Consider the following 17,557-nt stretch of genomic DNA (forward strand, 5'->3'; position numbering starts at 1 on the left):
GACCCAGAAATTATTCTTTTTGCCAGTGAATTCTTTCTTTCCTTTGAGCAGGAAACATAAGATTCCAGACAAGGCAATGCTGGATGTAGCAATTTCACTGCAATAATCCAGTCTGTTCTTAGCAATATGTTCTAATAAAGAGCTTTCACTTTTGCAAAGAATCTACTAAGACATTAGCGTCAAGTTATATGGAAATTCATCAGAACCAGACTAAGGTAAATTATTTCTGTTTTCAATGTTCCAAGCCCCCAAAATAGTAATATAAACTCATAAAATCCCTAATATATATTGATAATTTATCATACACCTTTCTGCAATGCATGTTCTTGGCACTTTTGTTGAAAATATGTTCACTGTAGGTGTATGGATTAATTTCTGAGATTTCTGTTCTGTTCCATTGGTCTCTGTATCTATTTTTATGCTAGTAACACTCTATTTTTGTTCCTATAGCTCTGTTATATAATTTGAAGTCAGGTAATGTTATTCCTTTGTTTTGTTCTTTTTGCTTAATATGTCTTTTGATATTCTGGGTCTTTTGTGGTTCCATATAAATTTTAGGATTTTTTTTTCTATTTTTGTGAAGAAAGTCATTGATTGGTATTTTGATAGGGGTTGCATTGAGTCTGTAGATTGCTTTGGATACTATGGACATTTTAACAATATCGATGTTTTAAATTCATCAACACAGAATAGTGTTCTTTTTTGGGGTCCTCTTCAATTTCTTGCATCAGTGATTTATACTTTGTAGAGATTTTTCACTTCTTTAAGTTTATTTCTAGATATTTTATTTTATTTGTAGCTATAGTAAATTGGATTACTTTCTTGGTTTCTTTTTTGTTTCTGGTTTGCATAGAGAAATGCTACTGATTTTTTGTGTGTTGGCTTTGTATCAGCAACTTTACTGAATTTATCAGTTCAGTAGTTTTTTCAGTGGACTCTTTAGGCCTTTCCAAATATAGATCATATCACCTGCAAGCAAGGATAATTTGAGTTCTTCCTTTCCAACTTGGATGCCATGTATGTCTTTCTCTTGTCTTATTGCTCTAGCTAGAACTCCCAGTACTACATTGAGTAACAGTGGTAAAAGTGGTAATCCTTGTCTTGTTACAGATCTTATAGGAAAGGCTTTCAGGTTTTTCCCATTCAGTATGCTATTAGCTCTGAGTCTGCCATAAATGCTTTTATTGTGTTGGTATAAGCTCCTTCTATAACCAGTTTTTTAAACGTTCTTATTGTGAAAGGATATTGAATTTTATCAAGTGCTTTTCAGCATCAATAGAAATGATCATATGATTCTTGTCCTTCATTCTGTTGATATAATGTATCATGTTTATTGATTTACTTATGTTGAACCATCCTTACATCCTTGAGATAAATACCACTTAGTCATAAGGAATTATCTTATGTTTTTCTTCTTTTTGAGACAGGGTCTTGCTTTGTTATCGAGGCTGTAGTGCTGCAATGGCAAGATCACAGCTCTCAGGCCCAAGCAATACTCCCACCTCAGCTTCCTGAGTAGCTGTGACTACAAGCAGGCACCAACATCCCTAGCTATTTTATTTTCAATTTTGGAGAAATAGTGTCTCCCTACTTTTCCCAGGCTGGTCTCAAACTCCTCAGTTCAAGTAATCCTTCTGCCTCAACCTCCCTAAGTGCTGGAATTTCGGAAGTGAGCTACTGAACCTGGCCTTGAATGGTATTTTTATTGTGTTGTTGAATTTGGTTTGCTATTATTTTGTTGAGAATTTGGCGTCAATGTTCATCAGGAATATTGGCTTGTAGTTTTCTTTTTTAAATATGTCTTTGTCTGGTTTTGGTATCAATATAATACTACCCTTATAAATGAGTTTGAAAGTATTCTCTCTTCCTCAAATATTTTGAGTAAGAGTGGTATTAGCTCTTCTTTAAGTATTTGGTATAATTCAGCAATAAAGCCATCAGGTCCTGGGCTTTCCTTTGCTGGGAGACTTTTTATTACAGCTTTGATCTCATTGATTGTTATTGGTCTATTCAGGTTTTGAACTTCTTCATAGTTTAATGCTATTCCTATCAGCCTAGCAATGACATGTCTCTCAGAATTTGAAAAATATTCTCAAATTCATGTTTAACAAAAATAGCTCAAATAGCCAAAGCCATCTAAGCAAAAAGAACAAAGTTGAAGGCATGACACTACCCAACTTCAAACTATATTGCAAGGCTACAATTACCAAAATAGCATGGTATTGGTGTAAAAAGGGATACCCCAATGGAACAAGTTAGAGAACCCAGAAAGAAAGCTGTGTACCTACAACAATCTGACCCTCAAGAAAGCCAATAAAAACAAGCTGTGAGAAAATGACTTCCTAGTCAATAAATGGTGCTGGTATAACTGGCTAGTTTTATGCAGAAGATTAAAACTGGGTTCTTTCTTTTCACTATAGAGAAAAATGAACTCAAGATGAATTATAAACTTTAATGTAAAAGCTAAAACTGTAAAAACTCTAGTAGAAAACATAGGAAATACCATCCAGAATGTAGGGCTTTGCAAAAATTTCATGATAAAGTCTCCAAAAAGCAATTGCAACCACAACAAAAATCACTGAGTGGGACCTAAAGAGCTTCTTCACAACCAAAGAAACTATCAACTGTGTAAACAGACAACCTATGAAATGGAAGAAAACATTTGCAAACTATGCATCTGACAAAGGTATAGTATCTATACTCCATTAGGAACTTAAAAAAATTAACAAGCCATAAATAAACTATCCTATTAAGAAATGAACAAAACCCATGAGCAGACACTATTTTAAAGAATACATACACATAGCAAAGAAGCATATAAAAAAATGATCAAAATCACTAATCGTTAGGTGCAAATCAAAACCACAGTAAGATACCATCTCACAACAGAGTGGCTATTATTAAAAACTCAAAAAAATAACAGATGTTGGCAAGGTTGCAGAGAAAAGGAAATGCTTATATGCTGCTGGTGTGAATGTAAATTAGTTCAGTCCCTGAGGAAAGTAGTTTGGAGCTTTCTCAAAGAACTTAAAATAGAACTAGAACTACCATTTGATCCAGCAATCCAATTACTAAGTGTATAATGAAAGAAATAGAAATTATTCTACCATGAAGACACATGCATGCACATTTTCATTATAGCACTATTTATAATAACAAAAGCATGGAATCAACATAGCTGCCCATCAGTGGTTGACTGGATAAATAAAATGTGGTACAAATACATCATGGAATACTATGCAGCCATAAAAAAGAACAAAATTATATCATTTGCAGCAACGTGGTCAGAGCTGGAGAGGCCATTATCCTAAGTGAATTAATGTAGGAATAGGAAACCAAATATCACATGTTCTCACTTATAAGTGGGAGCTAAACACTGAGTATACATGTACACAAAGACAGGAATAATAGACCCCAGATCCTACTTGGGGATGGAGGGTAAGAAGGGTGTAAGAATTGAAAAACTACCTATCGGGTACTGGGCTCATTACTTGTGTGATAAAATAATCCGTACACAAAACCCCTGCAACATGCACTTTATCCATATAATAAATCTGCACATGTACCCTGCTGTACCTAAAATAAAAGTTGGAAAGAAAAAAAAATAGTAGAGGTAAAAAAAGAAATGATTTTGCTCTTTCACATATGTTGTCATATTTTGTTTTTCCATTTTCATTTGTCTTAAGAAATTTGTTTAATTTTCCTTTTAATTTTTTCATTGACATACTGGTTTTTCAGGAGCATGTTTAATTTCCATGTATTTGCAAATTTTCTGAATGTATCCTGTTATTGATATCTAATTTTATCTCATTATTATCAGAAAATATACTTGATACAATTTTAATCTTCTTAAATTTGTTAAGAGTTTTTCTGTGGGCTAACATATGCCCTGTCCTGGAGAATGTTCCATGTGTCAATGAGAAAAATGTGTATTCTACAGCTATGGATAGAATATTCTGTATATCTCTGTTAGGAACATTTAGTATAAAATGTACTTTAAGCCTAACTTTTTTTGTTTTGTTTTGTTTTGTTTTCTGTTTCAAGGAACTGTACATTGCTAAAAGTGGGGATGTTAAAGTTTCATATTGATATTGTCTCATATTCTATTCTTCCCTTCCAATGTATTAATATTTACTTTATATATTTAAGTACTCCAATGTTGGATGCATATATATTTACAATTGTTACATCAGCTTGCTGAATTGATTACTTTTTCATTCTATAATGACTTTTTTCTTTTTTTACAGTTTTTAACTTAAAGTCTATTTTATTTAATATAAGTATGGCTGTTCCTGGATTATTTTGTTTTCCATTTATGTGTGATATCTTTTTTCATCCTTTCATTTTCAATTTATCTGTTTCCTTACAAGTGAAATCAGTATCTTGTAGACAGTATATATCTGGGTCTTTTTTTTTTTGTATATCTGTGTCTTTTCATTGGGTAATTTTAATCCATTTACATTCCAGGTAATTATTGATGGGTAAGCACTTACTACTATCGTTTTGTAAATTGTTTTTTAGTTGTTGTTTTAATATCCTCTGTTCCTTTTTTCCTGTCTTGCTGTCTTCCTTTACAGCTAAGTGATATTCTCTTTTGCGATGTTTTGATTCTTTGCTTTTATTTTTTGTGTAGGTACTGTAGATTTTTGCTTTGTGTTGATTCTGAAATGTATTAAATAAATCTTATAGTTATAATAGGTTATTTTAAGCTGATGACAACTTAACTTTGATTGAAAAAAAGAAACTAAAACAAAGCAGGAACAAAAATACTCTACAAATTTACTCTACTTCCCTTCTCACATTTAAAATTTTTAGTGTCATAATTTAATTCTTTTGTATTGCATATTCCTCAACAAATAATTTTAGCTATTAGTATTTTAGTAGCTTTGTCTTTTAAACTTTATACCAATATATCATAATTTACACACCTTTATCACTTTGTTAGCATATTGTAAATTTGATTGTGCACTTAGTTTTACCAGTGAATTTTATACAGACGTTGTTGTGTTACTCATTAGTGTCATTTTCTTTCAGCCTGAAGAACTCCCTTTAACACTTCTTATATGATACATCTGGTGGTGATAATTTTTTAGCTTGTCTTGGTCTAGGAAAGTTTTTATCTCTTCTTTAGCTCTGAAGGACTATTTTTCTAGGAACAGTATTCTTGGTTGACAGGTATGTGTGCGTGTGTGTGTGTGTGTGTGTGTGTGTGTATGCCTCCAGCCCTTTGAATATATCTTCCCACTCTCTCCTGGAGTATAAGGTTTCTGCTGAAAGGTCTGCTACCAGCCATATTGAAACTCTCTTATATATTATTTGTTTATTTTCTCTTGCTGCTTTCAAGATTCCCCTTTGTTTTTGATCTTTGAAAATCTGATTATATGGGTTAAATACCTTTAATTCAAAAATCTAAAATGCAAAATTTTAAAACATTTAAAACTTGTTGTGTGCTGAGATGTTGCTCAAAGAAAATGCTCATCAGAGCATTTTAGATTTTGAATTTTTAGGTTATCAATGCTCAACCAGTATGTTATCTACAAATATTTCTGAAAAATGAGAAATGCAAAACATTTCTGGCCCCAATTATTTTGAACAAAGAATATGCAACCTGTAATATATGTAGAGCTAATCCCCCTTGAAGTGAATTAGATTGGATACCACTGACCTTCATCTACTTCTATATTTAGATCTTCAGGTTTGGAAAATTTTCTGCTACTATTTTCAAACAAGTTTCTTCTTCTTTACCTCTTTTCCTTCTTTAATTCTTATAAGAAAAATATTTGCTCCTTTGATGCTGTCCCATGAGTCCTATAAGCTTTTTTCACTTTTGACATTCTTTTGTTCTTTATTCTCCTCTGACTTTACATTTTAAGATAAATTTTGTTTGGGTTCACAGATTCTTTCTTCTGTCTGATCAATTCTGCCATTGATGCTCCTTGTTGCAGTTATATTTTTTACTGTATTTTTTTTAGCTATAGCATTCCTATTTGATTTTTGATTTTTATAATTTTTATTTCAATCTCTCTATTAATTTTTTATTAGCCTTCACAGACTGGTTTTCTCTGGGAAAGTCCAGCAGTCAGTGTGGCACCGGGTTGCACCAGAAGCCCAGTGCAGCTCCAGCCAGCATCAGAAACCTGAAGCTGCTATGGCAGGTGAAATGCTGAGATTAGCCAGAGTCCTAGGACTGCTGAAGACTGCTGATGACTTCCTGATGTTGAGGGCTTTCTGGAGCCCAGGGTCATTGATATTGGTCTAGTGATGGTGCAGGCTGGAGATCAAGTTCACTATATAAGCCTGAAACCTAGGGCTTTGTGGGCTAACCTGGTGCCAGGGAAGGTCCATAGTCTCAGTCCATGAATACTGGCCTGGAATGCAGGATCATGAGGATCTGCCTGGCACTGGGTTTTACTGTGGCTGGCCCAGTGTTGAGGTCCTAGGCAAAGTCCTGTTCTCACTTTCCTCTCTTTCTCCTAAATGGATAATAATTCTCTCCATGATGTCCTGCCTGGGTAGGGGTAGGGGTGATACGAATAATGTAAAACTGTTCTTTCTACCCTCTTAAATCCATATCTTCTTCTTATTGTGCTACAACCAGGCACTGTGATAGCTCCTGTGTTTTTTTTTCTGCTCTTATGAATATATTTCCACACGTGAATAGTTATTCAAATTGACTCTTCTGTAGGGTGATAATTGCTATAGAATTTAATTCACCATCCCTCACCTCTCCTCTATCTGACATATCTTTAAGGGCATGCTAATGTGAAAAAGTCAAAGTTGAGATTATGATTTAATGTTTTATGATTTAGCATTATATATTGAATAAAATCATTACATTTTGTATAAAAATTATTAAAACATATGCTACATTGAGTTTTATTTATTATTGTAAGTTCAATCAGATGTATAGAATCTATAATCAAGCACCACCTTCTTTTTGGGAACAGAATTAGCAGATTTTGAAGAACATAAGAAAATTAAATGTCTCACAAAAAGGAAGACCCTTGAATACCTTAGCTGATGCAAATCTTTAAAAATCAATGAAACAAATGCTGATAAATTTTTGTGTTGTTTTCACTAAATTATTTATTTAATTAAACTTGTAATATAAAATGAATGGAATTCAGGTTTAGCCGATTCACATTTGAATGTAAATTTTTGCTACTTTCTGGATTATCTCTGTCAAGATATTTAAACACTGCAATATTTACGTAACTCTTTTTTTTCCCCATAATGTCAGGAATGGAGAAAAATCAAAAATGAAAACAAAAGAGAAAATAAAACAAAAGTGCCTCCTCTGAGTAGCTCAATTTTAGAAGATGATGTAGAAGCAACAACATTGTTTTGAACTACTTTACTGATCTGTAACTATGCACAGTTCTGAGAAGAGCCATCATCTAATAAAATTATGCATGATGAAATTTGATACACAATGCACTCATAAAAATATTAAGAGATTGAGGCTCCAATTTAGTGATAAAAATGTAAACAATCTTATTATAATTTAGTATATTTTATTTGAGAAATAAGCATGTAGTGGGGCACATGTAACTACTTGGAAAAACTGTCCCACTGGTCAGAATTTACCATGAAATTTTATGTTGCCAATTATGTTAGTATGTATGAATTACATTGCGGACAGGGAAGAAAGACAAAGGAAAACCATTATGATGGTTAACATTGAATGTCAACTTGATTGGAATGAAGGATGCAAAGCATTTTTGCTGGGTGTGTCTGTAAGGGTGTTGCTAAAGGAGATTAACATTTGAGTCAGTGGACTGGGAAAGGCAGACCCATTCTCAATCTGGGTGGGCACAATCTAATCAGCTGCCAGCATGGCCAGAATAAAAGCAGGCAGAAGAACATGGAAACACTAGATTGCTTTAGTCTTCTGGCCTACATCTTTCTCCCATGCTGAATGCTTCCTGCCTTTGAATATCAGGCTCCAAGTTCTTCAGCTTTGGGACTGACACTGGCTTACTTGCTCCTCAGCTTGCAGACAGCCTGCTGTGGGACTCCACCTTGTGATCATGTGAGTCAATACTCCTTAATAAACACCCCCTTATATATACATCTATCCTATTAGTTCTGTTACTCTAGAAAACCTAGACTAATACAACCACTGTGTGTGCCTTAAAAAGAAGCCCAAAGGAGGACATGTTAAAATAGTACTTTGTTGCTTTTTTAAAAGTTGCAGGAATATGATGCTTTTTATTATTTTTATCCCTATTTTCCTCAAATCTTTAGTGAGCATCAATTAGTTTTTAATAAAACTCATTAATGAATACAAAGTGGAGATTATATATATAAATGTATTTATAATAAATTACACAAATTATTACAAAGAATTTATAATTTGATATAGTATTTAATTACAGACATAAATATTTACCAGAGTTGCTCTTTTTCTTATTACCTCATAATTGATTGCACACATATATAATTTTAATCAGTGAAAAATAAAATAGAGTTTTCTGTATTTTTTTTATTTTTTCTAAAAAAAACAGATACATGTGCAGAATGCGCAGGTTTCTTACATAGGTGTGCCATGGTGGTTTGCTGCACCTATTGACCCATCCTCTAAGTTCCCTACCTTCATCTCCCACCCCCCAACAGGCCCTGTTTTGTGTCATTCCCCTCTCTGTGTCCATGTGTTCTCATCACTTAACTCCCAATTATGAGTGAGAACATGTGGTGTTTGATTTTCTGTTCCCGTGTTAGTTTGCTGGGAATGATGACTTCCAGCTTCATCCATGTCCCTGCAAAGGACATGATCTCATTCCTTTTATGGCAGCTTAGTATTCCATGGTGTATATATACCACATTTTCTTTATCCATTCTGTTATTGATGGTCATTTGTGTTGACTCCATGTCTTTGCTATTGTAAATAGTGCTGAAATAAACATAAATGTGCATGTGTCTTCATAGTAAAATGATTTATATTCCTTTGCGTATATAACCAGTAATGGGATTGCTGGGTCAAATTGTATCTCTGGTTCTAGACCCTTGAGGAATTCCATACTGTCTTCCACAATGGTTGAACTAATTTACATTCCCACAAACAGTGTAAATGTATTCCTATTTCTCTACAGTCTCACTAACATCTATTGTTTCCTGACATTTTTTAATAATAGCCATTCTGACTGGCGATGGTATCTCATTGTGGTTTTGATTTGCATTTCTCTGATGATCAGTGATGTTGAGCTTTTTTCATGTTTGTTAGCTACGTAAATGTCTTCTTTTGAGAACTGTATCTTCATATCCTTTGCCCAGTTTTTGATGGGGCTGTTTGTTTGCTTTGTAAATTTGTTTAAGTTTCTTGTTAATTCTGGATATTAGATCTTCGTCAGATGGGTAGATTGCAAAAATTTTCTCCCATTTTGTAGGTTAATGATAGTTTCTTTTGCTGTGCAGAAGCTCTTTAGTTTAATTAGATCTCATTTGTCAATTCTGGCTCTTGTTGCAATTGCTTTTAGTGTTTTTGTCATGAAGTCTTTGCCTATGCCTATGTCCTCAATGGTATTGCCCAGGTTTTCTTCCAGAGTTTTTATAATTGGGGGTTTTACATTTAAGTCTTTAATCCATCTTGAGTTAATTTTTGTATAAGGTGTAAGGAAGGGGTCCAGTTTCAGCTTTTTGCTTATGGCTAGCCAGTTTTCCCAGCACCATTTACTGAATAGGAGATCCTTTCCCCATTGCTTGTTTTGGTCGGTTTGTTGAAGATTAGATGGTCGTAGATGTGTGGTGTTATTTCTGAAGTCTCTGTTGTGCTCCATTCATCTATATGTCTGTTTTGGTACTAGTACCATGCTGTTTTGGTTACTGTAGCCTTGTATTATAGTTTGAAGTCAGGTAGCCTGATGTCTCTAGCTCCATTCTTTTTGCTTAGGATTGTCTTTGTTATATGGGGTCTTCTTAAATTCCATATGAAATTTAAAATAATTTTTTTCTAATTCTGTGAAGAATGTCAATGGTAGTTTGATGGAAATAACATTGAATCTATAAATTACTTTGGGCAGTATGCCCATTTGCACAATATTGTTTTTCCCTATCCATGAGGATGGAATGTTTTTCCATTTGTTTGTGTCCTCTCATTTTGTTGAGCAGTGGTTTGTAGTTCTCCTTGAAGAGGTCCTTCACATTCCTTGTTATCTGTATTCCTAGGTATTTTATTATCTTTGTAGTGATTGTTAATGGGAGTTCACTCATGATTTGGCTCTCTGCTTGTCTGTTGTTGGTGTAAAGAAATGCTTGTGATTTTTGCACATTGATTCTGTAGCCTGAGACTTTGCAGAAAGTTGCTTACCAGTTTAAGGAGTTTTGGGCCTGAGATGGGTCTTGATTCTTTATCTAATTTGCCAGTCTGTGTCTTTCAATTGGGGCATTAAACCCATTTGCATTTAAGGTTAGTATTGCTATATGTGAATTTGATCCTGCCATCATGCTACTATTTGGTTATTTTGCACACTAGTTGATGCAGTTTCTTCATAGTGTCATTGGTCTTTCTATTTTGGTGTGTTTTTGCAGTTATTGGGACTGGTTTTTCCTTTCCATATTTAGTGCTTCTTTCAGGAGCTCTTGAAAGGCAAGTCTGGTGGTAACAAAATCCCTCGGCATTTGCTTGTTTGAAAAAGATTTTATTTCTTCTTCGCTTATGAAGCTTAGTTTGGCTGGATATGAGTTTCTGGGTTGAAAATTCTTTTCTTTAAAAATGTTAAATATGGGTTCTCAATCTCTTCTGGCTTGTAGAGTTTCTTCTGAGAGGTCCACTGTTAGTCCAATGGGCTTCCCTTTGTAGGTGACCTGGCCTTTCTCTCTGGCTGCCCTTAACAGTTTTTCCTTCATTTCGACCTTGGAGAATCTGATGATTATGTGTCTTGGGGTTGATCTTCTTGTGGAGTATCTTAATGGTGTTCTCTGTATTTCCTGAATTTGTGTGTTGGCCTGTCTTGCTGATTGGGGAAGTTCTCCTGGATAATATCCTGAAGCATGTTTTCCAGCTTGCTTCCACTCTCCCCGTATCCCTCTGGTACTCCAATCTATTGTAGGTTGTGTCTTTTTATGAAGTCCCATATTTCTTGGAAGTTTGTCCATTTCTTTTTATTCTCTTTTCTCTATTCTAGTCTGAATGGATTATTTCAACAAAGTGGTCTTCAAATTCTGATATCCTTGCTTCCGATTGGTTGACTTGGTTGTTAATACTTGTGTATGCTTCACAAACTTCTCATCCTGTGTTTTTCAGTTCCATCAGGTCATTTATGTTCCTCTCTAAACTGGTTATTCTAGTTAGCAATTCCTATAACCTTTTATCAAGATTCTTAGCTTCTTTGCATTGGGTTAGAACATGCTCCTTTAGCTCAGCATAGTTTTTTATTACCCATCTTCTGAAGCCTACTTCTGTGAATTTGTCCATCTGATCATCCGTCCAGTCCTCTGCCCTTGATGGACAGATATTGTGATCATTTGGAAGAGAAGAGGCACTCTGGCCTTTTGGGTTTTCAGGATTTTTTCATTTTCTTATCTTCCTGAGTTTGTCTAGCTTCGGTCTTTGAGTCTGCTGACCCTTGGATGAGGTTTTTGTGGGGACTTTGTTGTTGTTGTTGATGCTGTTGTTGTTGCTTTCTGCTTGTTTGTTTTTCTTTCAATGGTCAGGTCCCTCTTCAGTAGGGCTGCTGCAGTTTGCTGGGAGTTCCCTTCAGGCCCTATTCATCTGATTCGCTCCTGTGCCTAGAGATGTCATTCATGGGAGTCCAGAGAATAGCAAAGATGGGTGCCTGCTTCTTCTTCTGGGACCTCTGACCTCAAGGTGCACCAAGCTGATGCCAGTAGGATCACTCCTGTATAGGGTGTCTGACAACCCCTGTTGGAGGGTCTCACCCAAGTTGGGTAGCATGGGGAACAAGACCCATTTAACAAGACTTTGTTACTTGGTGGAGGGGCTGTGCCTCACTGTGGGGAAACCCACTTTTCAGGGCTGCCTGGATTTCTCAGAACTACCGGAGGAAAAGGCTATGTCTGCTGGTCAAGAGAGACTACGGCCACCCCTTTCCCTAGGAGCTCAGGCCCAGAGACATCGAGGTTCTGTCCCTGAGCCTCTGGCTGGAGTTATTGGAGTTCTTGCAGGGAAGCACCTACCAATGAGGAAGGATGGGTCAGGGTCAGGCCTGAAGAAGCACTCTGGCCACAGACTGCCACAGATGGTGTGTTGGGCTGTGGGGAACAAGTCTTGGGCCCAAGCCATCCAGCCTCCCTGGCTCCAGCAGGGGAAAAGCTCAGCCTGGAGCAATAGAGATAGATGCCGCCCTTTCCCCACCCAGGGAGCTTAGCATATTAGGCAGTTCCGAGTTCCAGTGCTGGCTGCTGCCCTCCCCCAGGGAGCTCAAATAAATGGCTTTGACAGCAGGCAGCTGCAGCTGCGGTGCTGGTTGCCGCTCGCCGGCAGTTCAGTAGCCTTAAGCAGATTCCAGCTGAGAGGCTGTTGCAAATCTGCATGTTCCGGGGTTCTAGGGTTGGGACACTAGGTCCTGGTGGTGTGGGTTCACAGTGGGATCTTCCAATCTATGGGTTGCATAGTTCCGTGGAAAAAGCACGCTTTCCCTGGCTGGGTAGCATGCTCACTCACTGCCTCCTTTGGCTGGGGGAAGGGGGCTTCTCTGCCCCGTGTGACTCTCAGGTGGGCCGCCGCACCACACTGTTCTTCCTTCTCTCTGTGGGTCACGCTAGCCTCCTAGTCAGCTTTGATGAGAGAACCTGGATACCTTGGTTGCCAGTGAAGGATTCACAGTTTTATTATGGTTTTTCTGGATGGGAGCCTCGGAAGGCCGCTGTTTCTAATCGGCCATCTTGGCCCCACCCGCTGACATTTTCGTATTTTCAAGCACAAAATATCTCAACCCTCTGCTTCTAATCTTATCCACATTGCCAACTTGTGCATTTAATCTTGATCCACATACATTCAGTTTTTTTTTAGAAAGTTGTTTCTCACTCAGTTGAATGGATTCTTCATATAATTTATTTGTCAACCATAATTTCAAAGTGAATGATTAGGCAAATCCATCATGTATACTAAAATGAATTAGATAGATATTTATGAAGGCATCGTAGTTTACACTTGGTAATATAAGCTAAATGACTGAATGGTTTCATTTTACTCTGGTTCACTAAGCAAGGATTTATCATTTTTTCCTTGTTTCTCCTTGTCATTGACAGACAAAGAACCAAGAGATTAAGTTTATTTTCAAAACATTTTTTAAAAGTAACTGCAAGGAAATAAAATAATAAATAAACTTTAAAGTATTGGCTTCACTCTAGTTTGTTATACAGACTAATTTTTAATTGTAGAAGAGACCTGGAAATTGGAAAGCTTAAAAATCTAGCTAGCCAGCTCAAATATGCTCCTTCTACTGAGACACTATTAGTTTCTTATTAAGTAATATAGTAGTATTAAATAATATAAAGTATGACACATTATTGCAAAACTCATTTATATCCCACTTTTAAGTTGTCACATTACACCATTGTATTATATAGCCCACTACACAGAAGTATGCATATTTTATCCCACCTCAATTCCTTGAGTTAACAATACTTTTCAATTTGAGTACATAAAATTAACAGTGCTATGCATAGAATAAGAATTGTGAGGAATTCACAAACTATAGAATTCCAAAAGAATAGAATTGATAAGAAAATGATAACATTTTAATAGTAAACCAAAGCTGAAAGTATGCAAAGGAGAGAATTGTTTTTTTAGGCAGAAGCAAACCTTTTTCTCAGCCAAAAGTGAATGAATAACAAAAGGAAGAGGCTGGGCGCGGTGGCTCATGCCTGTAATCCCAGCACTTTGGGAGGCTGAGGCGGTTGGATCACCTAAGGTCCAGAGTTTGAGACCAGCCTGGCCAACATGGTGAAACCTGGTCTCTACTTAAAAATACCAAAATTAGCCGGGCGTGGTGGCAGGTGCCTGTAATCCCAGCTAACTTGGAAGGCTGAGGCAGGAGAACAGCTTGACCCGGGAGATGGAGGTTGCAGTGAGCCAAGATTGCACCATTGCACTCCAGCCTCGGTGACAAGAGCAAAATGCCGTCTCAAAAAAAAAAAAAAAAAAAAAAAGGACCCTAGGGCAGCCATCACTGGGACTGTACATTCCAGAATCTGAGCCATGGAGCCTATACCATGTCATCGTTAGACAGAAGGTAACAATGACATTTACCTCCAAGATAAAGTAGTGAATGTGGCCAAGAGACCTGGAAAGATAGGTTCTTCCTCCAAGTAGCTAGACACTGTGGAGTACTGCAAGTAAGGCTACCAAAAAGTTGAGCTACCAGGAACCCTCACCAATTATGCCACACTCTCCTTCCACGATTCCTGGTAACAAACTCCAAGCTCCTGTCACCAAACCAGCATCTTCTGATAGTCCAAAGGGAACTCAACAAAGATAAGTCAACAAACATTCAGTAAAATTACTATAATCTTAAGTGTGCCAGTAAATATTTAACAACTAGGCCTTAATAAAACAAACAAGCAAACAAACAACAAAAAACCTTAATTTGTGGCATTTGCTGATTTCTGTGGTGTAAATATTTTCATCATAACCTACTTCATGCCAACCAAGTGAAGCTTCTGAATGAAGATTCAGGGAGAGATGCACAGGATTGGCTCCCTGAGCCATAATAAGCTTGTTCCAGCATACCATTGACTGTTATGCAGCTGTTATTAATTTTCATTCACTTAGCAATTGTTGATTGAGCTCTTCCTATACCAGGTGTAGTTGGAGGTAATAAAGATATGTGGTGAACATAGTAGAAATGGTCTCTGTTTTATGAGGTTTAGGTTCTAGTTGGGGTAGCCAGAAAAAGAATGTTTAAAAGCTGGATAAAATAATTTCAGCTTCTTGTTAAGTGTTTTGAATATAAAAAAATAGTGTGACTGAAGTATAGTGGGATGGATTTGGAGCAATCAGGGAAGACCTCATATTCGAGCAGATGCCTGCATGATATGAAGGGGAGAGGGAAAGTCTGAGTTGAGCGTTTTAGGCAGAGAGAATAAAGCCCCTACAGCAGGAGCCAGTCTGGTGTGTCAGGCACAGAAAGAACACATGGTGGGTGGAAGCACAGAGTGAACAAGTGGGAGGAGATGTGACCGGAAACATGACAGAAGTCAGGTTACATAAAGCCTTGTGGAGAATGGTGAGGAAGTTGAATTGTATTCTAAGGACAAAGTGAAAACTTTTGAGACTCTTAAGCTGGACATTGACCTGAAATTGATAATTTGAGAGTTAATGAAAAAAAAAAAAAGAATAAAGCAGGTAGATCACTTAAGATTCTACTCAAGTATAGACTGGTAGAAAATATTTGTTCCTTTTATTTCAGAAAAAAAGACTCCTGTCAGGAAACCAAAAAATCTCACACAACTCAGTTTAAAAATAGAAAAATATTTGAAGAGACATATCACAAAAGCAGATCTGTGAATGACAAATGAGCTCATGAAAAGGTGCTCAACATGATAGTCTATACACTACACACATTATGATGGCTAAAGCTGCTTATCAAATGTTGAAAAGGAGGATGTGAAGGAAAATTAAGCTGTCATATACTGCATTCTACTCCTATGCACTTAGCAAAGAGAAAAGAAGACATATCTCCACACAAACACTTCTACACAAATATTCATGGCAGCTCTAATTGTAACAGTCAAAATAATAGAAACATGTCTATCAACAAGTGAGTAGGTAAACAAATTTTAGTATATTCATATAATAAAATGTTTATAATGAAGAAATTGATGAATCTCAAAACTAATAGTGACATAAAGTAGAGCCATGCTTGCCTAGGGATGGAGAGGAGGGAGGGATGGTTATAAAGAGATATGGGAAAACTTTGGAAGGTGATGAAAATGTTCATCATTCTTATTGTGGTTATGGTTTCATAATTGTGTACATGTGTCCAAATTGATCAAATTATGCACTTTAAATTCATTGCACTTCAAATATGGTTCAATACAAAAAAAAGGGGAGAAAAGGCATTGTTTGCCAGTGTAAGCAATAAATTATAATGACTTGGTATGCAATAGTACCAGTTTCAGATGAAGGTATGTGTTAGATTTAAATCGAAGGCAACTTTTGGTGTCTTAAAGGAGGAGAGTTGGGACAGTTAGAAATGCATGCTGATTTCAAGGGATATCTACCAGGATATCTGTTTTCTTTGGAATTGTTTATCTCTTCTTTATCCTTTGTATCTATTGGGAGAGAGAGGACTTTACCATTCATTAATTACAAAATACTTGTTGTTCATCTTCACTGCATTTGTCTCTGTTAAATTAAGAGCTAGCTTCTGAAAAAAAATTAAAAATAACTTATTCAATCAGATTCATCTTCTGACTTTTATTGCAATTTATTGTCTTTGCATTATAGATAGTTACATAGGATTCTGAAATTTCTGAAACAATTAAGTATTTGGCTATAAGGAATATTAGAAAGAGTCAAGTAAGAGAAGAAAAGTTAATCATATCAAAAATATATAGATTGATGCAGAAACATCAAAAATGGTAACTCTTTTGTAAACTCCCTCAACATTAATCTACTAGATTATATCATACTTTAAAAATAACTAGGCCAGGTGCGGTGGCTCACGCTTGTAATCTCAGCACTTTGAGAGGTCAAGGTAGGTGGATCACAAGGTCGAGAGATCAAAACCATCCTGGCTAACATAGTGAAACCCCGTCTTTACTAAAAATACAAAAAATTAGGCAGGCATGGTTGCACGCACCTGTACTCTCAGCTACTCAGGAGGCTGAGGCAGGAGAATCACTTGAACCCGGGAGTCAGAGGTTGCAGTGAGCCAAGATCATGCCACTGCACTCCAGCCTGGACAACAGAGAGAGACTCCGTCTCAAAATAAATAAATAAATAAGTAAATAAAATAAGTGAAACATTTAATATTTATAATATTTGTTAGCATTAAAACTGTTTCACAAATAAGATGGTTGGATCTTGAAGAGTTTAACATCCACAAGTAGTCATAAAATAAGCATTTTATTAGATTAAAGTTGAATCATTCAATTCTTTCTATATCAAATCATCTTTTTTCTGATATATTTATTGTAATGTCATAAAATCATTTAAAAATATTTTTATAATACTTTATTTCAGGATATTTTCATTTTCTGTACTCCAGCATTAACTTTAATTTTCTTGCATTAAAAATCTATCAGAGATTAAACTATCAGAATTAAGCTAGATTATATTGTCTTTATCTTAATGACCAGAAAATGACAGAAATAGTGTCTCCTTCCTCTAAACCCATCTTACTAGGAGAGCAGTACCTTGTCATTGTTTTTAACCTCAAAGCTATATCAATTCTCTGGTTCTGAGTCCACCTTTCACCTCTTCATTCCACAGGAGAGAGGAATAGTGTTTGCTAATCTTCTGTATTTTGAAGGCAAAATATTCTACATGTGGATGCAATGGTTTTGCACATTTATAGAAGCTTTGATTGACTTCCAGCATTAAGTAGAAGTCAGAGCAAAACCAGATGCAAGAGATTGTGCTCTTTGATGT

General features: G+C 36.0%; 1 annotated feature.

Moving 5' to 3' along the window:
* Window positions 12,426-12,925: an enhancer, noted in NCBI's record as "H3K4me1 hESC enhancer chr3:145335293-145335792 (GRCh37/hg19 assembly coordinates)". NCBI's record gives its function as "activates a minimal SCP1, AML or CMV promoter by ChIP-STARR-seq in primed H9 embryonic stem cells {active_cell/tissue: H9 hESC(primed)}" and the evidence as "EXISTENCE:reporter gene assay evidence [ECO:0000049][PMID:30033119]".

The sequence above is a fragment of the Homo sapiens genome, chromosome 3 (assembly GCF_000001405.40).
Source record: "Homo sapiens chromosome 3, GRCh38.p14 Primary Assembly".
NCBI classification, from domain to species: Eukaryota; Metazoa; Chordata; class Mammalia; order Primates; family Hominidae; genus Homo; species Homo sapiens.